The sequence below is a fragment of the Homo sapiens genome, chromosome 3 (genome assembly GCF_000001405.40).
Source record: "Homo sapiens chromosome 3, GRCh38.p14 Primary Assembly".
Taxonomy (NCBI): Eukaryota; Metazoa; Chordata; class Mammalia; order Primates; family Hominidae; genus Homo; species Homo sapiens.
This window is the reverse complement of record NC_000003.12, coordinates 46,986,722-47,011,371: the sequence shown is the minus strand read 5'-3', so window position 1 is coordinate 47,011,371 and position 24,650 is coordinate 46,986,722. Positions and strand designations below refer to the sequence as shown.

Genomic DNA, 24,650 nt, shown 5'->3' with positions numbered 1-24,650 from the left:
GGTAGTCTGTCCCCCTTTTCTCACTTCAACCTGATTCATTCTAGGGCTGGACCAGTTTCCTCCTGTGTCAGATGGGGCGGAGGTGACAGAGCTGGTCCCAGCTGGCCAAAATTAGAAGGGTCAGATACAGCTCAGGATGGAAGACAGGTTGGAAACCACCCTGTCTCAAAGACGTTGCCAAACACCTGGTCTGAGTCCAGGGATGGTAGGGAGGATAGGGGAGACGTGCCTTCTAGCTCCATCTTGGCCAGAACCAGGCTGGAGAGATGTACTGGCCAGTGGGAGGCTCACCACCAGGCTTTTAAACTAGAGTTCAGGAACCCAACATCCTAAAGCCCCAAGGCAGGAGGACTTTCTGCAGTGACCATGCTCGCACTCTTTCCTCAAGGGTCAGTGTCCAGCCCTCTCCTGATCAGGAACTGGGTGGAATGCTACCCTGGTGGGTTCAGCGAGGGAATAGGGGATATGGGCCCAGAGACTCCCTAGTTGATCCTGCTTCATCCAGAAATTCAGAGAGGGCCTGAGACTCAAAGGATAGGACCGCTCAGTCCTACCTGGATCCTATAGGGCTGAATCTGCTGGGACCCACTTCCTGAGGTTTGGGGAAGAGAAGCTCCTCGTCTAGACTAAGGAGAGCTTGCCTGGAGAAGGAATGGAGGAGACATCCGGGAAGGCCCTCCAGCTCCCCAGTATCCACCACCACATATTGGGTACCGATCTATCCCACACCATGTGCCCATGTGTATGGCTAAATCAGCAACCCAGTGCTGTGGCCAAGTGGGTGCGACCTGGTAGCCCTTGCCACATATGGGTGTGTACCTTTGTGTCACTTACATTAAGGGGCCCTGCAGGATCCTGGATAGTGGATGGGCCTGTGACCAGGACGCAGCAGCAGACAGGCCTGGCTTCCGCCCAGCCTACTCTGAGCAGCGGGACTGGAACCCCTCCCGCCTCCCACCTGTCTCCAGGCCCACGAATACGCACACACAATGCAACCACCCCGCACACCCACACTACCCCTGACTTCTCACGCACACGCCGACACCAGCACATACAACACCCGCAGGATCGCGAGTCTGGAGATGGGGGACAGAGAGGCAGCCCCCGGCTCCCTCCGCTCAGCAAGGGCTCTGCCCCCAACTCCTCATGACCAGTGGCCGCCAGGATGGATCCACTCAGCAGGGCAGGACCGAGCCCTCCGGGAAGACAACGTGGACTCTCTGGGGTGGTTCTGGCCCCCCACCCCCAACCCCGAGACCACAGCGGCGCCACAGGGCGGCCCAAGAAGTAGGCAAGACAATGAGGTGGCAGGGCCGAGCTGGAGGGGCGCGGCCTCGGGTGTTGTCGCCCCTGCCCGGCGAAGGAATGCAAACGCGCCTGCGGGGCGCCTGGCCGGGTTGCGGTTGTGGACGAATGGCGTGCGAAGGCGACCCCATGAAGAGATCGTGGGGAAACCACAAGCCGGGGCGAGATGTGGGGCAGGGGCTACACTGCCGGGTAAACTGAGGCCCCAGTTCAGCGACGGCCACGCGGAGGGGGGGCGAGTGGGCCCAGAGGGGGTCACGGGCCAGGGGAACGCGAGCCAGGCCAGACTCAGACGGCGACCCTGGGACGGTGGCCATGGCAGGCCGAGACGCTGCGCGCGAACGCACACTCGGAGACGGAGCAGCTACAAAACTAGGCCTGGTTTATTGCCGAGAAGGGAGAACCGGGGCCGCCGTTAGGAATTAAGGCCACAGGCGGCCCTCGTGCTTTGACGAAACAGCGACTTGGAAGCCGGGGAACCCCGCCCCAGACTGTGCAAAAAGTGCTGCTGCGGCCGCAGACGCCAGTGCTGGCCCTCAGGGCGGCCCCTCAGCCGGCGAGGGGCGGGACTTCCGCCCGCCAATCCCTGAGGGGGTAACATCGCCCGCCAATCCCTGAGCTGGGCAGGGTGGGCCCCGCTCACCCCCCTGGGCTGCCCACCCCGGGGTGTTCCCGCCGACTTCTGGGCGGGGCCTCCCGGGCCAGGCCTGCCGGGGGCGGGGCCCGAGCAGCCGGACTGGCCAGGTTCAGCGCGCCTCAGTAGGGTTGTATTCCGTCTCTCCCGAGGACACCTGGGAGATGCGCCGCGAGGACCGCCACAGCTTCCGCGCGAACTGGCTGCTGCGCACCTGGTGGGCGTAAGGGTTGAGTAGGATCAGCTGGGATCGCCGCGCCACGCCCCGCCCCGTTCGAGGGGCCTCCCCACCCCCGCCCCATCCTCACCTCAGAGGGCTGCCCCGCGACCACCACGATGAGCTTGCCATCCTCCAGGCCCACCAGCACGTGGCTGCGCTCCTTGGTCACGGCCACGCTGCGGATGGCCACCTTCATGGGCAAGGGAGGCGCGGCCGGGAGCAGTCTGGAAGGGAGAGGGGATATACACCAACTTGCGACTGCAAGGGGGCTTTGCGACCAGCAGATATCCCTTATCCCATATACCCTCTCTGTCCTCATTTTAAGGATGGTTAAATTGAAATTCTTATACACAAAGAAATCTCCCACAACTGTGGCTAAGCGGAGGCCCAGGGCAAGACCTCCCCATGGGAAGATGAAGGGACAGGTAACAAACCTTGAAATATGTGCCCACAAACATGTATGGTGTGTGGGTTCCTAGGGCCTTTATCCTACACCAATGACCACCACCTTCAGGGGCCATGAACCCATAAATGGGGGGCTTACGTGTTTAGTTGGAGGATGTGCAGGGCGCACTGGGCGGTGCCCAGCAACACAAAGTCCTCTGTCACCGTCAGGGCTGTAGGCTGCTCTGCCAGGGGCAGTGAAGCCCGCAACTTCCCATTGACTGAATACAGGTGCAAGGAGTAGGTGACCTGGAGGAAGCAGGGAGTGTCAGCAAGGACAGGATCCCAACTGCCCCTCCATCTTTGCTGGGCACCCCTTCCCCATACCTGGGCCCCAGGACGTTCCCACGCTGAGCTCTGTACCACAATCTGGCCTTCGGACCCCAATGCCAGGTGGAAAATAGGTCCAGGGAATGTGGCACCCAGAGGCCGTAGTGCCGCTACAAACTGTCCGCGGCGTACAGTGTGTATGATCACAGTTCCATCCTGCAGGAAGGCAACTTAGGGTCCTGGGCAGGAGTCTGGGCTCCAGGGGGATTGCCCAGGAAACTCACCCTCCCCAGGGCACATGCATACACACACCTCAGATCCAGACACAGCCATGTCAAGTTCAGTGCTGATGGCCACACAGCTCACTGCAGCCCCATGCCCATACAGGACCTGCACAGGCTTTGGTGCCAGGCCTACTGACAGACCACCCTGTGGAGGACCAGGGTTGGCTTAGGACTGTCCCCTGAGGCTCAGGAAATGAAGGCCTTGTCCAAGACTAGAGGAGGACAGGACTGGAAGGCCACTGAGGGACGGATGGGCTGCAGGTCTGGGCTACGGGGGCCCCACAGAGCTGCCCACGAGGCACACCTGATGCAGGAGCCGCCACACCATGCACGTGGTGTCCCGGGAGCCTGAGATGAGGTAGATGCCACAGGTGTCCAGTGCAAGGCAGGTTACTACATCTGCATGGGAAGGGGAGGGTACAGGCAGAACGGAGGAGTCACATCCGCCCTGGCCAGCCTCAGAACCCGGCCCCATACCTGTGTGCCTCATTCTCCCCAGCTCCAAGGCTGTTCATACCAAGGTGGCAGCTGAGCTGGCTCAACAGCTTGCCACGGGGTAGTGCAGTCACCCGCAGGCTGCCATCCCAGTGGCCACCGCTGAATAGCAGCTTTCCATCCGGGGCCACTGCCAGTGCTTGTCCACTCACACCACTGCCTGGCACCCACGGGCCACTCAGCAGTCGCTGCGTCCTGACCCAGTGAGGGGGATAGCAAGTGAGGCCAGGCCACATGGAAGAGACCCAGGCCCTCAGGGAGCCTGGCCAGACCTTTCCCCTGCAGCTGGCCTACATTCTGATTAGGGAGGGGAATAATTCCGGGTGCAGGGCATTTGTAGCCCACCCCACCCACAGCCCTCTGTCCTACTTGTGGCTGCCCATGGTGGGGTCTTTGCTGAAGCTGAAGTAGTTGCTTATGTTGCGGTCATAGGGCAACCAGCTGTGGGTGCCCAGCAGCCCACTGGCACTCACAGTCACCTGCAGGCAGGAGGGGGCAGAGGTGGGTTTCTGGCAGAGGCAAGGGGGAGTGGAGCTGAGCTGGGGCTCTGCACAATGCACTTACCAACAGGTCTGGGGAACCCTGGGTGATGAAGGAGTGGGGCTGCCGGTGGGGGACCAGGGCTAGCACCAGGGGTACACCATCACTGACAACCTGCAGGGGCAAGGGCAGGCCTAGCTATGCCTGAGTACTATCAGATTACACTATCTGCTCCCTGAAGCATCATCCCTTCCTTTACTGTCAGTCCCCAGGGGTCATAGAGTAGGTGTCACAGATGCAGAGGTTCCCTCCAAGAAACAGGCAGAGACTTTAGGAGGGCATCTCAGAAAGTGGGTGAGAAGCTGGGACAGACATGGAAGATGCTTCCAGAGTATCACACTTAGTTTCAACTTGGTCCTCTCACCCTGTTATTCCTTGTCCCCCTAGCCCAAAGGCAGGAAGAGAGGGAAACCTAAAAAAAAAGTCAGGCCTGGGGGCAACATTCAGGAATGTTCCTGTCTAGGAAGGCGATGGAAGGGGTCCAAGGACAGATCTCCCTCCTGATCTCCCTAAGGCTTTCAGAGCTTGTTGAGTCGACACTTTATCCTGGCCCTGATGAAGAAGGCACCCCTCCTGCCCCCATACTCTTCCCATGTTTAGCTCATTTTCTAAGGTGCCTTGAAATCAGTGACCTTGATTAGGATTCCCATCTGCCCCACGTGGTTGGTAAGGACAGTGGGGTTAAACCCATTTCACAGAATATAAAGTTGAGGTCTTGTCTTCCTTTCACCTCTGCGAAGAATGCCTTGAGTTCGTCCAGGTGCTGGAAGATGCTAGGTGAGTTAGTGTCCAGGCGTGCAAGGCGATGGGCTGCTTCCTCAGCTGAGAGCCGAGTTGGATGTGGCTCCTGTGGGTAAGTGGCTGGTCAGCACCATGGCATGGGCATCCCTGGCCACTATCCTCTAAGCTGGCCTTACCTTCAGCAGCTGACAGGGAGTCTGCCCAAAGTTGCTGATAATGCCCTCCAGAGCCTTCCGTTCCCGCTCATCTGTCACATGGTCCAGGTCTACAGCCCCTGGGAAGGCAGGCAGAGCAGTCAGGGCTCCCTGCGTGCCCTCTGCATCCACCCGACCTGATCTTGTCCTGGCCCTGACTGGAGTCCAGCGCACTGCCCACCCTCATAGGTGCAGTAATAGAAGACATTGAGGGCCTCCTCGGCGGCTGGCCCCCGCTGCTTGTAGCCAAAGATGAGGTCGATCCACTCGTGTAGGTGTGCAGACACATACTCCGACTCCTGAGAGTAGGGAGGCAGCAATCAGTGCAGGGACAGCTGACCCCCCATGATCTTCAGAACCCCGGCTGCCTGCCGTTTGCCTGTGGTTCCTTCCTCACCAGAGCCTGGCGGTGCTGCTGGATGAAGTCCTCAGGAGAGCTGGCCCACGGGGGTAGCACCACATCGCCTACCTTCTCGTTGGTCAGCTGGAGACAGCCCAGGTCAAAACCTGGCACAGAGGACTGGGTCAGCTGTCTCCCTGTCCATCCCGACTGCCCCCTGGCCACTCCACCATCTGCTCTCCATCCCTACACCTGCCCGCTCCAGTGTGAGCACCTCACACCTACCGTTCTGGTTCTCCAGGAAGTCAGGAAAGTAGAAGAATTCCGGGATGAGCTCCTTCACATCGGCAGGGCTCTCCAGGCGTGCCTGCCAGGCTGCCGCCACCGAGTGGAACTGCCGGTCGGAGCAGTCAAAGCTGGGGGAGGGGCACGGGGCCAAGGTGAGGTGGGGAGAATGGAGACAGGGAGGGAGATGCTGTGGCTGGAGGGAAGAAGGGAGCCAGGGGTGGGCCCAGGATGTGGGGAGGACCAGCCTCCTCCCCTTATCTGCCCCCTAGTCTGCCCACCAGCCCCTGGGCCGCACCGGCCACTTTGCAGCTGGACGTGCAGGGAGGTGAAGGGCTCCACGCGGATGAGGTAGTGCATCACGCCTGCTGCATTGGAGTAGTGGGTGCCATAGTGGAACTTGTCAATGGTCCCTGCTGGGTCCTCAAAGCTTTCATACCTGGGGCCACAGTTGGACGTGTCAGCAGAAGCCCTCCCCTCGCCTTTCCCTACCCGCTGAGCCCAGCCCTGCCCACATGCTCACTTCTCCCTCACGAGCTGGGCATGCTTGGGGTTCACCACACCGATGGGCTTAGACAGGTCCCGGAAGACGGCTGGGTTGCTGAGGTCCAGGGTTGGGGACACGTAGTCCTGCAGGACCCAGGGGAACTGGCCACCCACCCGAGCAGGGGCTGCATGAGGGCCCTGATGGCCTACCAGCCCACCCTGCCCTGCCCACACCCTCAAGAAGGCGGGCACAGAGCCTGCCCACAGGTTGGGGGAGCACCACTTAGAGGGGTCACAGGGGAGAAGGACAGAGTGTCCTGGAACAGGATTCCTTTTGAGGAATAGAGGCTAGGCAGGGAGGGGAAGGGAGTGAGGCTGGGGACCTCTGGGGGTTGGCAGGGAACAGAGGCCAGGTCTTCATTGGCACATCTACCCTTGACCAAGCTCAGAGCTTGGCCCACTGGCAGGTACCTACACTTGGGGGAACCAAGGGCTGACAGGTCAGAGGGGCAGGGGTGGAGGGGTGCAGAGTGGGACCCTCACCACAGGGTACTGAGACAGGTCATTGTAGGTCCGCCCCGCAATGGTGTTGAGTTGCATCAAGTACTCGAAGTTGGATATCTCACGCTGTACCCATTTCTGGGGACAGGGGCAGACAAGATGTGAGCCAGGTGGGCTGTCCAGCACTGCCCCGTGATTCAGGGTCCCGACTTCACATCCCTCACACCCAGGGCTCTCACCTGGGTAAGGCCTGAGGCACGCAGCATCTCCTGGGGGGAGCGGCTGCTTAGGTAGCCTTGAGAGGGGGGCCGTAGGCGCAGGAGCCACGAGTACACCTGGTTCCGTACCTGGGTATGGGGTGGGATGGGGCCAGGCTGGGGTCTGGGAGTCTGGCTAGGAGATGAGACTGGGGTCGTGCCCACCTTGCATGGGAAGTTGAGGAAGTAGTTGGCCTGATCGATAAAGAAGAGCTCAAGTGCTGAACGGCGCAGGTTGAAACGCCGCAGGTGGACCTCACGCAGCTGGGCCAGTGGGCGCCGGAAATCATAGCCGATGCCTATGGGGAGGAACAGCAGGTACGGGAGTCACTCACCCCAGCCCCACCCAGAGCTCAGCCATTCCCTGCCATCCTCCTAAACCACACCACCAGGACGCACCCTCCTCGGTTTCCACGCGCTCAGTGCTGCCATCGTAGAAGTATACATTCTGTGTGGTGACCTCCAGCAGCCCTGGGACCACGGCCACTACCGTCACCAGCTGGCACTCGGCCGACAGCACCAGCTTCTCACGCTGCTCATCCAGTTCTGCTGCCTCCATCCTAAAGACCAGCAACCCACCTCACGCTGTAGGCTCTGGGACCCCCTTCTTCACAAGCCCAAAGGGCATCCAAGTGCCATTGAGTCATGGGGTATATACTCTCATGACTCCCAGAGATGGGGAGGGGCTGCCTAGGGTCCAGAACCTACTGGTCCCAGCCCCTGTCCCCCACCTGCCACCCACTGGGCTTCTGAATATTTTGCCAGGATGCCAACCCTTGTCCCCTGCTCCCCTCACCCAGCCCCTGCCCACTCCCTGGGCCCCCTTCCTGCTCTGGTTTGTGTTTCTCAGTGCTGTCCTCAGGTGCCTGGCTGTTAAAAGAGCAACTCTCAGCCCTGTTAGGAGACTCTCCCACTCACCATCTGGCTTTGGACAGTCCCTTCAGGGGGACGTAGTCGGGCAGCAGAAGAGGACACACTCAGGGAGTTGATCCCACAGAGGCATGCACACACTGGAGCAGACCCCTTGCCCACCACACCAGTCCAATCTCTCCAGGGCCCCACTCACGGGGTCTCCAGCTCAGCCAGCTCGTCCTCGCCGAGCTGGTCCTCCTGCAGCAACTCGGGTGGGGTGCTCACTTTGGCCTCTTTGGTCACTGCCAGAGGCAGTGAGGCCTCCTCGGTGGGTGTCAGGGGAACCTCACCTGCAAGGGGCCAAGGGTACTCAGCAGAAGCAAGGCAGGACAGGAGACGGGACAATCGAGTTGGGTGGACCCATCTCAGCACACTCCCTCACCCAGATTGTCTCGGAGAGCGCTGGCTTCCAGGTGAGGGTCGAAGTGATGGTTGGGCACCAGCTTCAGACGCATGCGTGAATATGTCTCGGCGCTGGACAGTTTCCAGCGGGGGATGGGAGTGTCCCTGCAGAATGTCCCCCAGGTCATGGGTCGGTAGAAGGCTGTAGACACCCCCATCCCTCCCTGGCCTCACCCCAAAGGCAGTCTGGGGCTCCAGGTGGCTCCCTCCCTCCCAAGCCCCACCCCTCCACAGCGACCCTGCCCCAAGCCCGGCCCACCTCAGCGCCCAGGCCCCACATGGGCTGGCGAGCTGGCGCCACAGCGCCCCCCAGTGCAGCAGGGCCATGGAGTGCTGCGTTGCCTGCTGCTTCAGCACTGCCGTGTAGCGTAGCCCCTCCAGGCGCGCCCGCCTCTGCGCAGGTTCCAGCACCAGCTCCTGGGGTGGGGGTAATAGGTCAGTCCCCTGGCTGCTGCCTGCCCTACCCGTTTCTCCACATTGTCAGTCATCTCCTGGGTGCATGTGTGGAGCAGTTTCCCATCCCTTACCCCGGGTGGCACACCTGGAAGGCCCGACGACTCTGGGCGCGCTCCCACTGGCGCCGCTGCCCACTGCTCATAAGCATGTCATAGCAGGCATTCCAGAAACCTGACATAAGGTCGTGGCTCTTAGCATACGTGTCCATTTCGAACTGGGACATGGTTGGCTGTACCTGGAGGATTGGGCAGAGGAGAACAGTGCTCGATGTGGGCCCCAGCCCCCACTCCTCTTCCTGGGCCCCAACCTCCAGGCACCTGTTTGTCGATGAAGTGGCGCCATTCGGGTGTGGCACAAAAAGCCTGGAAGTCTTCAAAGAAGGTGGGGCTGCCATTGGTGGGTGGCAGGGAGGGCAGTCCCCACTGCAGCCCCAGCGGCTCATAGGCACGGTCTAGCAGCGTGCGCACCAGTGGCACCAGCCAGGAGCAGCGCTCTGCAGCTGCTGCAGCTGCTGCAGCTGCAAGTGGGGACCCTGCCTCATCAGTGGCTGACTCCAAGGAAGAGGTGTTCAGCACCCGCCCCAGTGCAGCCTCCAGCTTGGAGAGCACATAGCAGGCCTCCTCGCGGCGGGCTGGCACTGCAGTCTGTAGCAGCATGTGCAATCTCACGTAGGCCTGGGCATGCAGCTGTGGGCGCAAGAGAGATGAGTGGCACCCAGCCACTCTTGGAGCTCCCGACATCTCACACGCCCCCTGCCCCCATGCTCACCCTGTGCTCACCTGTGGGTCTTCCAGCAGGATGTAGCCAAGTACAAGCCGTAGGCCAATCTGCGCCATCTCACGGAGATCAGCTGTGCCGTTGGCCAGGTGGGGCCAGGCTCCCAGGCGATCAAGTAGGCTGCATACACCTTCAAAGAGCTGCCACAGAAAACAGGTTCCCAACAGACATCACCAGGGGAGGCCAGGAGTCCATGGAAAGGGAGCAAAGTAAAGTTTGCGCTGGGGGCCAGGTAGGGTTTGTGCACACAGGCAAGTCCACACTCACAGGCATTCATGCTGATGCACCCACACCTGCGCACGTGTACCCATCCACCTCCCAGACCAGATCCCTGCAGGCTTGCATGAACATGAGTGTTCATGTGGCTCACGCCTCTCTGAGGGGTCGCACCTTCTCACTCCACAGTTCCTGGTTACCATGGCCTTCAGCACACAGGAAGTCCTGCAGCAGACGCAGCAGCCAAAGCGCTTGCTGGGTGAGGCTGGCCAGGACCCCCACGGGGGCCTCTTTGATGTCGGTCAGGGCTGACTCCAGCATCATCTCCAGGAGGCTGGCGGGTGAGTGGGGAACTCAAGGGTCTACCTGACTATCTTCTCTCCTTCCCCCGAGGCTTCCTGAAGCCCCTCCCCCTCCAGACTTTCCCTCTCACCTGCGCTTGATGCAGTCTGGTGGGCGCACAAGTGTGGCTGAGGCCCCCAGCTGGGTGAGCACTGAGAAAACCTGGCCACGCTCCCGCCAGGCAGCCTCATCGCTGCCTTCCACGCCACGCCACGTCACCGAGAACAGCACGTTGGTGAGCAGATTGCACAACTCTTCCTCAGAGGTTTGCTGTGGGCACAGGTGGGTGGTGTGGGCGTGGGTTGTGGGCGGCTAAGGGAGGGAATCAGGCTGACGCCCACCCATCCCCACTCAGCACCCCTCCTGGGGTAGCCACCCAGGAGTCAGAGCATTTGGCTAACAGTGAGCCTGGCACTAAGGGCCTGGAAGAATGGTATAGGGGTCTCAACTACTACCTGAGTTCCAGGCAGAATCCTGGGGTCTTGCCAGACTCCCAAGAGGAGATGAGGCAGTTCACATAGAACAAGCAGAGGCCCATCCCCAAACCCAGAAGCCCAGGGCAGGGCCTTTGGAGTTTGCTGCCCTTGGACCCTGTGAGGTGTCTGCCCTACAGGCTCTCTTGAGGGCCCTTCTGAAGCCTGGCTGGTGTCACCCACTGTGGCTCATCATGACTCACCCTGTTCCAGGAGCCCTCTGGGAACACAACTGCAGATGAGAGCTATGAGGGGACAGCAATAGGCCTGACCAGTGGCTGCAACCCTGGTCAGACAGGGCCACACCTTTGGAGAGGCTACACTGCCAGCCCTGTGTACCAGAAGTGTCCTCCCTTGGGTACCATGCAGTGGCAGAGGGTGGGCCCACCTCACCTGTGGGTTGCTGGTGTTCGAGGTATCATCCCCGCTAATGGTGGGCTCCGGGAGGCTGCCGTCCTCCAGCACATTGGAGAGACTGGAGCTGTGGCGGCCAGGAGCAGCAGGAAAGGGCCGCGGCCCATCCAGTGGCGAAGGAGTGCCGGGCTGGCTGGCTGGAGTAAGAGTCCCACTGCTGCCGCCACCACCAGCAGTGTTGCCTGATCCTACACTAGACCGTTCCAGGCCCAGGTCAAAGGGCGTGCAGAATGGGGAGAGAGCATGGTAAAAGCCATCAGGGTCAGGGCAGGGGGCCTCTGAGGGCAGGAAGACATCTGAAGGCTCAGCAGGTGACTCAGTGGGTGGCTTGGGTGGGGCTGGCTTGGGGGAGGTAGGTGACTCTGGGGAAGACGGAGGGGGGCTGCCGGCTGTGGCAGCCTCCAGGACATATAGCCGGGTCAGCACATCTTGCCAGCCAGCCTGTCGGGCCAGAAGCCGCACTACATCTGGCTGTCCGTAGATGAGGTGGAAAAGCTGCAGGCGAGAGCACAGCAAGTGAGGACGCATCCAACTGCCTGCTCCAGACCCTCATCCAGGGCCTTTGCAGAGGAGGGCTCCAGAGACCCCTCATGAGACAGGCAAGGTGGAAGGCCAGAGGGTAGAAGCCACCCTCCCCCTCCCCCAAAGCTTTTACCTCTCATGCTCACCTGGCGACAGATGTCTAGGCGAACGCTGAGGTCAGCCTGGAGGGACAGCTGTACCACAGCCAGCAGATCTGAGAGGTTCAGGCAATCTGGGGGGATGGGTTGGGGGGACCTGAGGGACTGACCAGACTAGAAAGGGCAGGGCCCAGCCCTGGCCCCTATGCCACTATCTTCCTTCTTCCGGCCTGCCTGCCCTGTTTTTCTGACATGTCACCCCCTCCACTTGGCCTTAACCAGGTTGTACCTGCCCCCAGGAACAGCTTGTAGAGGCCCTGGCAGAGCTGGGGGGAAACAGTCCCCTCAGGCAAGCAGGCAACCAGACCCTGGAGACCACACTCCCGCAGCCGGAGGCGCTGGCGGCTCCGCTCAGGTAGCCGCTCATTCTGCTGCAGTCTGCGCAGGATCTGTGTGGGGGTCATCGGAGGACTGTCATCATGTGGAAGGAGTTACTGTAGGAGGGGAAGTCACCGTGCAGGTGTGTGGCTCAAGAGGCCCTTGAAGGCAGCTTCATCCGCTGGCCCAAGGCCTGCTGTACCTCCCTGAACCCCAGGCAGGGGCCCCAGTGAATGGGATGCCAGGGGAGGGGGTGGGCTGGGTGTACCTTGCAGACTCGATCGGGCAGCAGGGGCAGTGACCCTGGCCGCACTAGCAGGGCCAGTAGCACTTCGAGGTTCCCTGGCTCCAACAGAAAGACAGCCAAGGACTCCTGCACCAGGGAACCGTGCAGCAGGGCCAGCAGCAGGTCCAGCGCACCCACCGCCTGGGGATGCAGGGTCTCACACTGTGTCGGGCCCCCACTCCCCTCACCCAAGCCTCCCGCTCCCCAACCTCCAGCCTACCTGACCGTCATCGCCTGTGGCCGCCAAAAAGCTCAGCATGGTCTGCGTGACCTGCACGTCATCTGCTGAGAGACTCCGCACCAGGAACTCCCTCGCCAGGCCCAGGAGGGAGGTCTGCACGGTGCGTAGGTCGTCAGCAGCCAGGGGGCGCTCCCGCTGCGGGCTGGCAGGTCAGTAGGCACACCCAGCCAGGTCCCAAAGAAAGGCGGGGAGAGAGGGTGGGCAGGTGAGTCAGGGAAGCGCACCGCCCAGTCCCCAAGGCCGGAGGCCACTGTGTCAGCCCCCCATGGCCCATCTGGCCCCACTGGCCTCACCTGTAGTGGGTGCGCAGAGCATCCAAGATAAACTGGACGCCGTACTTCTTCCGCAGCTTCTGTCTGTGCTCCCGAACTATGCTGGACATGTACTGGATGTGACCTGAGCGGGAATGAGCAGAGGGCTCAGGCCACTAGGCTGAGCTGGGCCCTTCAGATCCTCCAGGCCAGGGCCATGTGCCTGTCAGACTTCCAGGGCAGGGTCATAGTCCCCTCAGCCGCCCCATGGCATTCTGGATTCCTAACAGGTGAGTCCCTCAGATCCCCCAGAGCAGAGTTCTAACTTCTCAGTGCTCAGCTGCCCTATGGCCGGCCCCTTGCTCAGGTCCTCACACCTACCGAGGCGCACGGCGAAGTCACTGAGGGTCCAGAGGTGAAAGTTGAAGAGCAAATGCTGGTAGAGTAGGTACAGGAGGGGCCCGCTGCCCTCAGCTGCCACCTGCTCCATCAGCAGCTGGGCGGACATGAGCACGTTCATGTCCATGGCCCAGCTTGGGACCTGGGATAAGACAGGAGCTGGAGTGAGGGCTCAGGCTCTGCCTGTCTGCTGTCTGAGCTTTTCAGCTGCCACTCTTCCCTGCACAGCCATGACGGCCACAAACATGGCCACCAGCCTGCTCAGAACCCTTTGGGGGCTTCCTGCCGCCTCTGACACGCAAGCCTCCTGCCTGCTGTGCGGGTCCCTGCCCCGACCTGTGCTGGGCCTTTCCCCAGATCCTCCAGACCCAACCCTGCTCGGCCTTTCAGGCCCCACTCAAGTGGCAACTCTCCCAGGAGGTTCTTCATGACTGACAGGGTTCCCCACTCAGTCCCCTCGGTCAGACAGGCTGACCATACCCCTAACCCCCATGCCTGTCCCACCGGGCCCCACCTTTCGCAGGAGGGCCCCGATGATGGCAGGCCCCTGGCACTGCACCAGGCTCTCTTGGTTCACCATGTGACCCTGAAGGAAGTTCCGCAGCATCAGCAGAAAAGCAGCCACTGCGTTCCTCTCCATCCGTTCCTCTGCCAGCCATCAGGAAGGGGACAGATGTGTGTCAAGGGCCTGCCAGTGGCCAGGAGACCTTGGGCATTCCACCCCCCTACCATGCCAAGATTCCCTCTCCACAACATAGGCACCAGGAACACTTACCTGAAGATTTACCCAATGGGAGAACCAGGCCCTGGGTGTTGTGACCAGAGGTCAGTTCAGGACCCACGAGGTCATGCGTTTCAGCTGGACCTGCTTCAGCCTCTTTGGGCTGTGCAGCTACTCGCTCCAGCAGGGGCAGCAGGGCACCCATACCCCCAACGCAGTTCACCACATCCTGGGGGAAGGAGGATGGCAGTGAGGGGGACCTTCCAGCCAGTTTCCTGCCCTACTCCACCCCAGCAGACCACCCAGAAAGGAAGTTTTGCTCTCTTGAGCTGGACTGTCCAAATCCTCCCCAGGCACAGCGCTGCTCCCCAGCTGACTCCGAACACACATGTGCCCCATATTCATGCCTCCTGCACACACCACCCACACGTGCTCACAGACCTTCACATCCCAGGTCTCCACTCTGTGGCCCGTCAGGCGCCCATCAAGCCCATGACTGGGGGACAGGTCCAGGCAGATGTTGTTCTTACAAGCCTAGGGATAGGGGAATGGGCAGGCAGCCAGGGTCAGAGGGAGGAGGGGGTGGCAGGCAGAGTGTGGGAGCCGGGGAAGTAGCACAGTCGAGCCAACCACTCCCCTGGGGCCCCCAAATACCTGAGGTGAGTAATGGAGGAGCAGCCTGGTGCTGAGCTCATGCAGCTCCCCCTCAGGCTTGAAGGGTGCCGTCTCATTGGGCCCTGGGAGGTGGGCAGGGGGCTTCAGACCTTGCTAGGCCTCTGGCCAAACCCCATCCAGAGACTGCCTGACCACAGGAGAGACCCCCAGAGATGCCTTCTCCCCCCGGACCCCTAGCTTCTGGCCTGGGGCTGTGGCAGAGATGGAGAATGCTGCATACCCAGGGTGCACAGGGTCCTCAGAGCCGTCGCCTGCAGGGCTTCGTGAAAGATGGCCACAGCCCCCAGCTCACCCTCCAGGGATGTGGGGCTGCCCCACCGAGTGTCCTGGGTGCCTGCGAGGGTAGAGTCGATGCTGCCCTCCTGCAGGGGGGCCACCAGCCCGGACCCCCAGCCAAGCCCTGTGGAGGCTGGGACTGACTGGGAGCGGGTGAGGGCGGGGTGAGTGTAGGCCAGGGTGGCGGGGACTGGTGGTGTGGGCAGCCCTGTGGTGGTGGTCGTTGTGCGGTATCCAGCGGAGCCGATACAGCAGGAGGAGAAAGGCTGTGGGGCCGGGGTTGGGGGAGCGGTCAGGTCACAGCAGAACCTGGGGCTCCGCCTACAACCAGTTCCTCACAGTGACCCCCATGGCTGCATGGACCCCAGTGGCTAAAGTCAGGCCTGTGGGGCAGCACGGGACACAAGGGCTCCAGGCTACACCTGCCCACTGTGTTCCAAGTCCTCCCATCTACCCAAGGCCTCCCCAAACCTTGCTTGGCACACCTCACTGAGGGAGGGGCAGCGAAGGGGTGCTGTCTTGACCAGATGGCCGTCTTTGTAGACATGGACCAGGTTCTGGCTGAAGGGCCGGCGCCCAGGCACATGGACGATAGCCACGCAGTGCTAGAACAGAAGCCTCACATTAGGCCATACTTGGGACTCAGCACCCCTCTCTCTACTGGGCCACATGAGAAGGATGGGGTCTCACCCAGGCAGAGTCGGCAAAGGACACTTCGGGCAAACTCATGGTCAAATACTCCTTCCGTGTGCACACAGCCACCACCAGGGTCCCGGCCGCCGTGAAGAAGGCCTCAAACCCTGAGCCGCTGCTGGTAAAGAAGCTGGGGGCAGGCAAGCCAGTTATGTCTGCTTGTTCCTGCTCACCCTGGCAGGAGGTCCCTGGCCCCTGGCAGTCACCCACCTGTACAGCTGCTTTCGCTGGAGTGGTCGGGTGGGGGCAGGGGTAGGTGCTGTATCCATAGGGTGCAGACAGAGCCAGGCATGAAAGGTGAAGCCAGGCCCTGGCCATCGCTGTACAGGGGGTACCATGATGCCCGCCATGCTGGGCGTGAGGTCAAAGTAGCGCAGAGCACGTGCAGGACCCTGGTGCCTGGCCATGCCTGATAATGTGCGGATGACAGCACCTGCGTGTCGGGCCTTTCCAGCCTCAGCTCCGCCTGGTTCCGAGTCCAATCCTGGCCGGGGGCGCAGCAGGTGACGCAGCTCCATGGGCCTTATTGATACACGGCCCAGTGCTTGTAGCAGTGCCAGCAGCTGCTCTTGGCAGCGGGCCTCCAGGGCTAGCCCTGTGCTGAGTGTCTCCAACAGGCAGCCCACCAGGCCTGCCTGCACACAGGTGGCACGGCTGGCAGGGCAGCTGTCACAGAGCCACCTGAGGCGTTGCGCTAGGAAGAGCCGCAGCTCAGCGGTGGGCAATGACGGCAGCCACTGCGCCAGCACCAGTACCGGCTGCTCGTTGCGGATTGGTGGAGGTGGGCACATGCTGTGGTCACCCTCCACAGCCTGTGGGTGGAGAGAATGACAGTCCCTGGTCAGCTGTGGCACCCTGTCAACAGTGGGACTTTCTGGCTCCATTTACTTGCCTACGGCAGCAGTCAGCAACATGATCTACTCCATCCTGCCCACAGGTTGTGTGTGAGGCTCAGGAAAGTCAGAGGGGCACAGATGACAGTCACTACTACTAAGAGTCCTTCAGCATTGTTAATCCCTCAACCTTAGTTTTCAGCCTGGGTTGGCCTAACCCCTAACTGCATGTTCCTAAGATAATCCTGGGGCTTGCTCACATGCAGTTGCTTCCAGGACCCCTACAGGGCCAGAATCCTCATTCCAGTGACACTAACAGACATGGCCAGGCTACAGGTAACAGTATGTACTGGCCGCAGTCAATACGGTCCCCCAGGGTGGAGAGCTCACCATCTGTGGTAACCCTGACTCAGTTCTGGTTGCCTTTGGGACCCTGGTCCCAAGCCCCTTCCCTCACCATGTTGAGCAGCTCTTGCAACAGCCGATGGGTGGGGGGACCATGGCTCTGCAGAACCTCCTGCAGGTGAGGGTAGCCGATGCGCTCCTTAAACACCTCCTGTGTAAGGTAGTATGGGGAAGAAGTGAACACATACATGGGCCGGAGGGCAAACTCAGACCCCCTGGAAACTCTGGAGGGGCATCATGTTTTGGGGTTCCCTTGCGTAGCTCTGCCTCTGGGTGACAGTGCTGGTGGGCAGTGGGCTGCAGAGGGATGGGGGGGACGTGAGTACATCTCAGAAGGCTGTAGATGGAGGTGGGCCTACAAGTGTCCATTCCCCATCCAGCCCTGACAGAGAAGATGCAGCTCCCAGGACAGACTGGCGACCACACCTGCCCAGTGAGCTTTAGGGCAGGGCAGTCACCTCCCAGCTCGCCTGCTTTGCTCCAGGGAGCAGGATGCTTATGGCCACCGGCCAGGCCTGTTCTGGGGATATGGTCAGTTGAACTCCACCCCGCACCCCTACTAAAGCTGCAGTGCAGCAGCCTCACCTTGGCCGAGGGGGAGTCACTCATGATGCAGGTCAGCACTCTGACTACATGGACTGCAATGGCGTCTGTGTCTTGGTCCAGGACCTTGGGGTGGGGAGGGGCCATCAGGAGAGGCAGGGGCCAGGGTGTCACAGCTGGCAGCCCCCTGCAGTAAAAAAGGTGCAGAGCCAAGCACCCCAAGGCATGTGGCATGTGCTGGATCAGCAACTCTGTCAGAGCACCAGGCCTTCTACTCCTTGCCCCAACTGCTGTGACCCTATCATGACCTAGGGCCCTCTCTGAGCAGCTCAGCAAGACCCACTCTAACAAAGGCTGGGAAGGGCCTCACTGGGACAGATTAATGGTGGACACTCTGACTGCACCCTCCAGTCCCCCTTTCTCTAGTGGAGTTAGGGCCCTACCCCCAACCTGTCTCCCTAAAGCTAGACACATGAGTACAGACAGGCCAGCAAGTGCCCCATCACCCACAGTGATTGACAGGGGTCAGAGATTTAGGGACAATCAATCACAGGATGTTAGAACCAGAAGAACCTTCGAGACCTTTAAGTCCCACCTTGCCCCTTCCCCCTAGATCCAGGTGGGGGCACTGAGGCTCAGCCTGGCTGAACCTGACAGCCAGAGGCATGCTGCTGCCTCTCCTGCCCCACCCTGAGGGGGTCAGGGGTTGGGAGGGCTTGGAGAGTTTCTCAGCAGGGACTAGGTCATATTCGGCTCCATGGGGCCTTTGGTCCCAGCTTTGCCTGACTCCCCAAGTGACCTAAGGCATCAGTCCTCCCCCTCCAGGCCTCAGTGTCCTCATCTGTAAAAACAGAGGGGAGTCACTTTGCCCTGCCTGCTTTGCAGATGAATAGACGTGTAAGCTCTAAGAAAATGACCACATGCGGTGAACACATAGGGTTACCTCATGAAGACAGAGCCAGGGTAGGGGCTATGGAGGTTGGGGCCCACAGGTTGAGCCCCCAGAAAGGGTGCCCGCTGTGAAGCTGCCAGCTGACACCCTGCAGCCTCCTACAGCCCACATGCAAGGTGAATCAGGGATCACATCATCAGGGGCTGGGGGACACCCAGTGACCCGCTGAGGGTGGGTGCAAGAATCTACAGAAAGAAATGGCACCATGAGGGAGACCCCTTTCTCTGTGACTATAGCCAAATCCTTGAGTGTCTGGGCTTCTGTCTCCCCTTCTGAGAAATGAGGTAGGTGGCTGAGTTTCGAAGGTTCCATCCAGCTTGGCACAGCCAGACCCCCAACACCCAATCAAACACCAGGCAGGGGATAGACCACCTTCTGTCCTGTTCCCTAGGATGGGGACTTGGAAGGCAGGCGAGACAGCATGGAGGACCCACACCCATTTCTAGACCACACCAGGCCTTACACACATCTGCTCATTTCCCCAGCTATAGTGCAGGAAAAGCTCAAAGAGGGAGTCCCAGGGGGTGTCTGAGCTGGTCAGCCCCAGGATGGTACCTTTTGGACATCGGGCTCAGTCAGTAACCGGGTAGCCAGGTCACTGTCCCCCTCGGGGGGCGCCCGGGACTGCAGGTACAGCTGTGGGGAAGTGGGGAGGCACAGGGTGGAGGAGGCAAAGAAGAGAGGAGGAAGATGGGAGAGGGTGGGGTTAGAGCAGGACCAGGGGCAGCTGCCAGGTGCCCTGCCCGGCACTAGGGAAGAGTAGGGTGCTGAGCCCCCTGTGCCCTGCTCAGATGGGCAGTCGGGGGGATGAGCGGGTGGGAGCAGGCACTGCATCTGAAAGCAGTGGTGCCCTCCTCTAGCCCCTGTACTTGGGGCCACGGAAAGGGAAACAAGGCACCAGAGCAGCTCCCTTCCTTCCATAACAAGCCCCGCTTCCATGGGGCACAAAGATGTCCTAAGCCTCAAGCCCAGTCCTATAGAGGCCCCAAGGGATGGGCCCTTGTCCATGCCCCACACCCTCCCACTGAACTGCAAGCCATCCCACCAGCTGCAAAACACTGACTCTGTCCAGCCCATGTTTGCTCAGCAGCAGCCTGGCACCTATGCGTGGCTCCCCTAGCCTCTGGCTTCCAGACCCTCACCCCCAGGCTGGGCCCTACCCACCTTGCTGTTCTGAATGAGCCGAGTGAGGTGTTCAAAGCAATTGTTGCTGAGGAAGGTGGCTTGCAGCACTGGCCGGTCTTCACATGCCAGCATCATGGGGATGGCGTCTGTGGAAGGGTCAAGGGTCAGGCCCTGCCCAGACCCCTCTAGGCAGCCTTAAGCCTTCCTTCCTATGCTGCCCTATCCAGACCTTCCATCATCACTTAGGCTTTTCCCTCATGGTGCCCCTTCCCCAAGAGCCTGGGAGCCCATACCCACCGAGCATGCTGACCCGGAGGGTGACAAGGGCCTCTTCGGGGCCTGAGCTCAGACCAGCTGGCCAGTCAGCATTAAGGACATGGAAGTAGCTCTCAAGCAGGGCACGAAGCTCTGGGCCACGAGGAGGTGCGCGGCTGGCATGCAAGACATGGACTGCACCTACCAGTGCCTCTAGAGCCAGTGGCACTAGGCACGGGTCCGGGGCTGGCCCACGGCTCCAGCCCCGCACCACACTCAGCAGGCCCTTCACAGAGCCATCACTTACAGCCATCTGCCCGTTCTCCTGCAGGTGTGGACAGAGATGGGCAGTGGGCAAGGGGCTCACCCAGCAGAGAGATACTGAAAGAGCTGCTCTCTAGTCCACAGGCTCACCTCCCAGCCTACCTTTCCTCCAGCGAGGACGGCGCAGAAGAGGTGGATGAGACGTAACAGCAGTATGGGAGGCAAGTGGTCTGCATTCTGTAGGCTCTCTGGGTAGGGGGGTGTGGGCAGGGTAATGTCACCAAGGTTGCAGGGCTATGGACCCAGGGGGCTGCACAAGAGGTGAGTGCCCTGGGGTGGAGGGGAGAGGGAGCTGGGCCAAGTAAAAGATCCAGTGTGAGGGATAAGAGCTGGCTCTGCCCTGGGGGGCATCTAAGGAGTTATGGCTGTATAGTAGAGGGCCTGAAAGGGACAACCCTTCTTTGGGGGACTTAAGGGTGACAAAGACCAGCCCTGAGAGTCTAGCCAGCTTCCCAGATCCTTAAGCCCCAAAGTGAGGGCCCCAGCATGAGCACATACCCTTCCACTTCCCCATGATGACCAGGGCTTAGTTTCTCAGATGCAAATCTCTTGCTGCCTCTGCCCTGTGACGGTTGGTGCTTCCCATGCCGTGCTCTGGGGACTCTGCTGTATCTACTATACTGATGCCACCTCCCCCCACGCCCATGCCTTTGCCTGGGACTTCTAGGGGCTTTCACAACCTAATACGTAGGAGGCCCACCTGGCCCTGCGCCAGCAAAACTGGACAGGATGCCAGGCCAGGGACTGAAACTCAGAGGGCAGAAGGGACTAGCCCCGGGTCACATGCCTGGCAGAGGAGGAAGAGTAGGGCTGGGGCTTGATTCCGGCTGGATGGGTGGGAGGCCTCCTTGGGGATGGGGCTTTTGAGGGGAGACCTGAGAATGCAGTTGGAGGGGAGAAGGCACAGCATGGGCTAAGACCCTGAGGTGGGGTCAGTGGTAGCAGTCTGGGAATGAGAGGACAGAAGCCAGGCTGAGCAGCAGGGCAAGTGGAGAGAAAGGCTGTGGGAGGAGTAGGATTTCATCTTGAGGACGTCAGGTTGACATCAAGGGATATGATGGGAGGAGAAATGAAATCCAGTTTGTTTTAATAACAGCACCCAGGCTATGGGAAAATAAAGTCGAGGAGCTCCCTAGGGGTGCCTCCCCTCCTGGAGTTGCTGCCCCAACTCTAGATCCAGGCCCACAGCTCCATGGGGGCATCACTGAGACATTTAATATCCCAATAGGTCACCACCTTTTCACAGCCCTGCCCACCTCTGTCCAGGCCATATCCCACCCTGAGCCTATCTAAAGTCCTGGCCAGTCTCCCTCCAATGAGAGGAGAGAGGGGACCCAGGGGTGGAGGGTCACCAGGGAGAACAGGTTCACAGGACCACCTGTGAACAGGCAGCCACAGCTGTCCTGGGCACCAGATCCTCCAGCAGCCAGGGAACAGGAGGTGGAGATACCTCCTGTGTCTCCGGGATGGGTGGAGATGCGTGGAGGCTATGGGGACAAAGGGATTGGACCAGAGAGTTTTAAGATCACAGTAGGGTACAAGTGGCTAGAAGGATCCAGGAGATGGCGGGGAAAGAGGATGAGAAATCTGGGTAGGCAGGTTGACCCCACCCCTCCACCTGATGGGAGGCCCTCGCTCCAGCCCAAGATGTCTTCTCTTGTCTCTGTCCCTAAACTCTTGCTTGGTCTTTGGTTCTCCCAGTCCTGCATGCAGCCACCACCAAGTGGTTCCTGTGTATGGCAGGATCAAGGAACGACAGGAAGGGGCCTAGGTTTGGGGGTGGAGCCAAGTGGGGGCAGGGGCGGGGCCTGACCTTGGAAGAAGGCGCTGAATTCCTGGGGCAAAGCAGCAGGAGGGAACTTGTATTTGCTCTTCTCCTTGGAGCTGATGACTTCCCTGGGGGCAGTGAGGCCAAGTACATCAGCCCGGCTCTCACCACTCCTGGCCGTCACCCCTCCTTGGGCCCAGCGCGGCCATCCTCTCCCCACCCTCCTCTGGGTTCCCTTCCTGTGGGCTGGGTCTCACCCACTGCGCTGGCGCCGCCAGGTTTGGTAAGGGTCAAAGAGGCCCTCGCAGAGAAGCAGAGCATGTAGGGCCACATTCTCCAACTGCGTGCCTCGGCCCTGGGGTGGTGGGCATCCTTTCAGCTGTAGGTGTGGGGAGAGAGGGTTAGCCCCGCCATGGCTACCGCCTGCCTCCCTGCATACACCCTCTGCCCCCCAAGGTAGAGGCCACTTCACCTCCGCCACCAACTTGGTCAACAGTGCCAGCACTCGGGGCACTAGCACTTGGCCCCGGCCTGCCTCTATGTTCTCCAGGTTCCTGGGGGAGTCAATGATGAGAGAGGTCACAATAATACACCATGCCCCTCCTTGTCCCCTCTCCCTCTGGCCCACAGTTCTAGGCCCCTGCTTGTAGAGTGGACAACAGAGACACCTGCAGAGAATGATGAAGAGCTTGAGCAGCAGGAGGGCTTGCTCCAGGTCAGCCTGGTGCAGCTGTTCGGCCAGCACATGCAGCTCATCCAGTGGTAGCAGCGGGACCTCTGCACCTGCCTCCTCTGGCCTGCAAGGAAAGGGGAGACACGGGTGCTGAGGACCCCTCAATCTCCCTGCTCTGTCCCTGCCCTCAGTGCAGATCCAGCCTCACCTTCGTGGCTCCAGAGAGGACAGTGAGATGCTCTTCTTGAAGGCACCTACAAAGGCCTTCAGCCACTGCTGCAGGTAACCCAGGTCCTTCTGTAGGCAGAACAGGGGAACAGTGGTGGGGGGCAGGAGGGATGCAGTAAACAGGGCAGGGACAAGGGGATGTAGACAGAGGCGAAGAATGAATGGAGGTGGACAGAGGGCATGGACAAGGGGTTAAAGGCAGAGTGGAGGGTGTGGAGAAGGGGAGTGGGGGACGGGGGAGGGAGGGCAGGACATTGGAAGGTCAGCATCAGAGAGTTAGGTACATACTGACCACTTTTCCAGGCACCCCACTGCTTCTCTCAGCCTCCCAGTTTCTGCTCCCACCTCCCTAATGCCTGCAGTCCTAGGCAGGTCTGACACAGCCAGGGGAGGGGCGTAAGTGGGGTGTGGCTGTGGCCCACACTGGTGCTAGGGCTGGAGAAGGTGTCCCACACAGCAGCCACCCCCTACCAAGAGCCTTGGGCTGGGTCCTCATCTGCCATCTTCACCCAGCCCAGCAGCCACCACCTTCAGTAGCCTTCTTTAACTGTGGATCCCAGGACACACGTGTACCATTAGACAGGCAGACCCAGACATGCGCACATCCTCATGTGCGGCCCTGCCTTGCCCCGGGAACCTCCACCCACCCTTGCTGGTTACCTGGACCCCAGGCCCCAGAGCTGGTTCCATGGGCAAGAGGGGCAGTGGCTAAGCCCAGGTCTAGGCGCTGCCAGGAAAACTTTGGTGTGAACGGGAAATGTCTCCTCCCGCCCCGGGGCTGGGGCAGGAAGCGCAGAGTCACGGTGGGGGAGGGGGACCGCTTCCTCCCGGCAGACCGCAGGGATGTGGGGGGGCCGGGGCACCCTGGGCCCCAGTGAGAGAGGCTGCAAGCGACCTGGCCTGCACAGAGGGTGGGACCTGTTACAGAGGGGTGGAGTCACCTGTCCTGGGTGGGGCTTGTGGGCCAAGACTAGTTTTACAAGCATGAGGTTGGCGCCTGGAAGAGCTCTTATCCAGGTGAGGGTTCTGATCCTGCTGCTGCAGTACCCTTCACTTAAGGCACCCACAGCTCCCTGACCTGCGCGCAAGGCCTCAGGCCACAGGGGTCGATGTAGAAGACTCAGCCATACCTTTGTCCCGCCCCGCCGCCCGCCATGTCCTGGCCACCTCATCTGAACTCTGCAGTTCTCTTCGCTCAGGAACACAGCTGATAAATCCTAGCCTAGCCCGTATCTGCTCTAATCTCTAAGCCCCTCCCAGGGGCCAGGGGTGGGTTGTGGCTTATACAGGAGCTCCTCCAGGCTGGCCCCATATGGAGCTCCTAACCAGCTGAGTCCAAAAGGCAGCCTTCTTTCCTAGAGTCAGAGAGGTGGACAGGGGGAGCTAGAGTGGAAAAGGATGAAGAGGCAAGGGACACATCACAGTCAGCACTCAGCAGGCCTCAGGCTGCTCCCCAGGGGCCATGGGCCTCATACCCAAGGACCTCCAGAACTATCTTTGGATGGATGGCTAATTTTTGCAGCCTATGGGCCCAGACCACGGGCAAGGCCTGAATGGCCCCAGGGCAAGAGGCCTGACTGCAGCAGACCTGAGCCAGATCCCCAAAAAACCTAGGCAGAGCAGCCGTCCACCCTGTGATTGGGGAACTCCCTGGTACAGTTTAGTGCAGATCTGAAGCCCAGACAACTCAGAGAGGTGCCAGGGCCACCATGGTGCAGACCCACACAACCATGACATTTTGTCTGTCAGTTACATTTATTGACCTCTCCACCCTCTCCTGCTGGCAGCCTCCTCCCGAACAATCAGCAAGGAGCCCAAAATACCCAGATCCTGAGACAGCAGAGGTGGCCAGGGGCCCTGGACCATTTCTTCTGAACCTCTCCCATTGCAGATGGGGAAACAGGAGGCCCCACAGGGGATGCCTTATCTACTACTTTGTCTTCAGTGTACCTTTGAGGATGCTAAAAGCCAGACCTTAGTTCTAGGCCAGGACCACTCATGATTGCTAGCAAGCCA

At 60.5% G+C, this 24,650-nt stretch overlaps 1 protein-coding gene across 14 annotated transcripts in view, besides 8 other annotated features; it reads right to left on the bottom strand.

Annotated features, from left to right (window-relative positions):
* Positions 519-1,315: an enhancer, noted in NCBI's record as "NANOG-H3K27ac-H3K4me1 hESC enhancer chr3:47051547-47052343 (GRCh37/hg19 assembly coordinates)". NCBI's record gives its function as "activates a minimal SCP1, AML or CMV promoter by ChIP-STARR-seq in primed H9 embryonic stem cells {active_cell/tissue: H9 hESC(primed)}" and the evidence as "EXISTENCE:reporter gene assay evidence [ECO:0000049][PMID:30033119]".
* Positions 1,316-2,113: an enhancer, noted in NCBI's record as "NANOG-H3K27ac-H3K4me1 hESC enhancer chr3:47050749-47051546 (GRCh37/hg19 assembly coordinates)". NCBI's record gives its function as "activates a minimal SCP1, AML or CMV promoter by ChIP-STARR-seq in primed H9 embryonic stem cells {active_cell/tissue: H9 hESC(primed)}" and the evidence as "EXISTENCE:reporter gene assay evidence [ECO:0000049][PMID:30033119]".
* Positions 1,316-2,252: a biological region, named in NCBI's record as "NANOG-H3K27ac-H3K4me1 hESC enhancer GRCh37_chr3:47050749-47051546".
* Positions 1,671-24,650, bottom strand: part of NBEAL2 (neurobeachin like 2) — a 30,036-nt gene continuing 7,056 nt past the window's right edge. The window contains exons 1-54 of one of the 14 annotated variants that reach the window (XM_047447785.1): positions 23,295-23,382; positions 22,615-22,703; positions 22,402-22,530; positions 22,206-22,287; positions 21,991-22,112; positions 21,779-21,861; positions 20,068-20,153; positions 19,684-19,966; positions 19,426-19,532; positions 18,817-18,897; positions 17,352-17,435; positions 16,819-16,917; positions 15,739-16,340; positions 15,526-15,658; positions 15,321-15,440; positions 14,780-15,101; positions 14,539-14,621; positions 14,326-14,418; positions 13,939-14,113; positions 13,678-13,811; positions 13,146-13,305; positions 12,807-12,909; positions 12,493-12,655; positions 12,255-12,413; positions 11,898-12,057; positions 11,657-11,742; positions 10,968-11,483; positions 10,193-10,371; positions 9,934-10,093; positions 9,546-9,683; positions 9,084-9,452; positions 8,852-9,001; positions 8,570-8,727; positions 8,291-8,415; positions 8,063-8,198; positions 7,396-7,556; positions 6,979-7,295; positions 6,782-6,877; positions 6,276-6,400; positions 6,051-6,191; positions 5,753-5,883; positions 5,525-5,634; positions 5,309-5,426; positions 5,110-5,207; positions 4,923-5,039; positions 4,217-4,306; positions 4,022-4,131; positions 3,675-3,847; positions 3,462-3,556; positions 3,186-3,302; positions 2,931-3,089; positions 2,704-2,852; positions 2,248-2,383; positions 1,671-2,153 (exon numbers count right to left, since the gene is read on the bottom strand). In XM_047447785.1, coding sequence (XP_047303741.1) covers positions 2,052-2,153; positions 2,248-2,383; positions 2,704-2,852; positions 2,931-3,089; positions 3,186-3,302; positions 3,462-3,556; positions 3,675-3,847; positions 4,022-4,131; positions 4,217-4,306; positions 4,923-5,039; positions 5,110-5,207; positions 5,309-5,426; positions 5,525-5,634; positions 5,753-5,883; positions 6,051-6,191; positions 6,276-6,400; positions 6,782-6,877; positions 6,979-7,295; positions 7,396-7,556; positions 8,063-8,198; positions 8,291-8,415; positions 8,570-8,727; positions 8,852-9,001; positions 9,084-9,452; positions 9,546-9,683; positions 9,934-10,093; positions 10,193-10,371; positions 10,968-11,483; positions 11,657-11,742; positions 11,898-12,057; positions 12,255-12,413; positions 12,493-12,655; positions 12,807-12,909; positions 13,146-13,305; positions 13,678-13,811; positions 13,939-14,113; positions 14,326-14,418; positions 14,539-14,621; positions 14,780-15,101; positions 15,321-15,440; positions 15,526-15,658; positions 15,739-16,340; positions 16,819-16,917; positions 17,352-17,435; positions 18,817-18,897; positions 19,426-19,532; positions 19,684-19,966; positions 20,068-20,153; positions 21,779-21,861; positions 21,991-22,112; positions 22,206-22,287; positions 22,402-22,530; positions 22,615-22,703; positions 23,295-23,324 — 8,244 coding nt within the window. In that variant the 5' untranslated portion in view covers positions 23,325-23,382 and the 3' untranslated portion in view covers positions 1,671-2,051. Of the gene's footprint in view, positions 2,154-2,247; positions 2,384-2,703; positions 2,853-2,930; positions 3,090-3,185; positions 3,303-3,461; positions 3,557-3,674; positions 3,848-4,021; positions 4,132-4,216; positions 4,307-4,922; positions 5,040-5,109; positions 5,208-5,308; positions 5,427-5,524; positions 5,635-5,752; positions 5,884-6,050; positions 6,192-6,275; positions 6,401-6,781; positions 6,878-6,978; positions 7,296-7,395; positions 7,557-8,062; positions 8,199-8,290; positions 8,416-8,569; positions 8,728-8,837; positions 9,002-9,083; positions 9,453-9,545; positions 9,684-9,933; positions 10,094-10,192; positions 10,372-10,967; positions 11,484-11,656; positions 11,743-11,897; positions 12,103-12,254; positions 12,414-12,492; positions 12,656-12,806; positions 12,910-13,145; positions 13,306-13,677; positions 13,812-13,938; positions 14,114-14,325; positions 14,419-14,538; positions 14,622-14,779; positions 15,102-15,320; positions 15,441-15,525; positions 15,659-15,738; positions 16,341-16,818; positions 16,918-17,351; positions 17,497-18,816; positions 18,898-19,425; positions 19,533-19,683; positions 19,967-20,067; positions 20,154-20,463; positions 21,704-21,778; positions 21,862-21,990; positions 22,113-22,205; positions 22,288-22,401; positions 22,531-22,614; positions 22,704-22,926; positions 23,011-23,294; positions 23,383-24,650 lie in introns of those variants that run through there. The other 13 variants (NM_015175.3, NM_001365116.2, XM_047447789.1 and 10 more) reach the window with 13 other exon arrangements.
* Positions 1,743-2,252: a silencer, noted in NCBI's record as "silent region_14302". NCBI's record gives its function as "represses an Ori minimal core promoter by ATAC-STARR-seq in GM12878 lymphoblastoid cells {active_cell/tissue: GM12878}" and the evidence as "EXISTENCE:reporter gene assay evidence [ECO:0000049][PMID:35858748]".
* Positions 12,866-13,759: an enhancer, noted in NCBI's record as "H3K4me1 hESC enhancer chr3:47039103-47039996 (GRCh37/hg19 assembly coordinates)". NCBI's record gives its function as "activates a minimal SCP1, AML or CMV promoter by ChIP-STARR-seq in naive H9 embryonic stem cells {active_cell/tissue: H9 hESC(naive)}" and the evidence as "EXISTENCE:reporter gene assay evidence [ECO:0000049][PMID:30033119]".
* Positions 20,528-20,777: an enhancer, noted in NCBI's record as "active region_19807". NCBI's record gives its function as "activates an Ori minimal core promoter by ATAC-STARR-seq in GM12878 lymphoblastoid cells {active_cell/tissue: GM12878}" and the evidence as "EXISTENCE:reporter gene assay evidence [ECO:0000049][PMID:35858748]".
* Positions 23,310-23,489: a silencer, noted in NCBI's record as "silent region_14301". NCBI's record gives its function as "represses an Ori minimal core promoter by ATAC-STARR-seq in GM12878 lymphoblastoid cells {active_cell/tissue: GM12878}" and the evidence as "EXISTENCE:reporter gene assay evidence [ECO:0000049][PMID:35858748]".
* Positions 24,270-24,329: an enhancer, noted in NCBI's record as "active region_19806". NCBI's record gives its function as "activates an Ori minimal core promoter by ATAC-STARR-seq in GM12878 lymphoblastoid cells {active_cell/tissue: GM12878}" and the evidence as "EXISTENCE:reporter gene assay evidence [ECO:0000049][PMID:35858748]".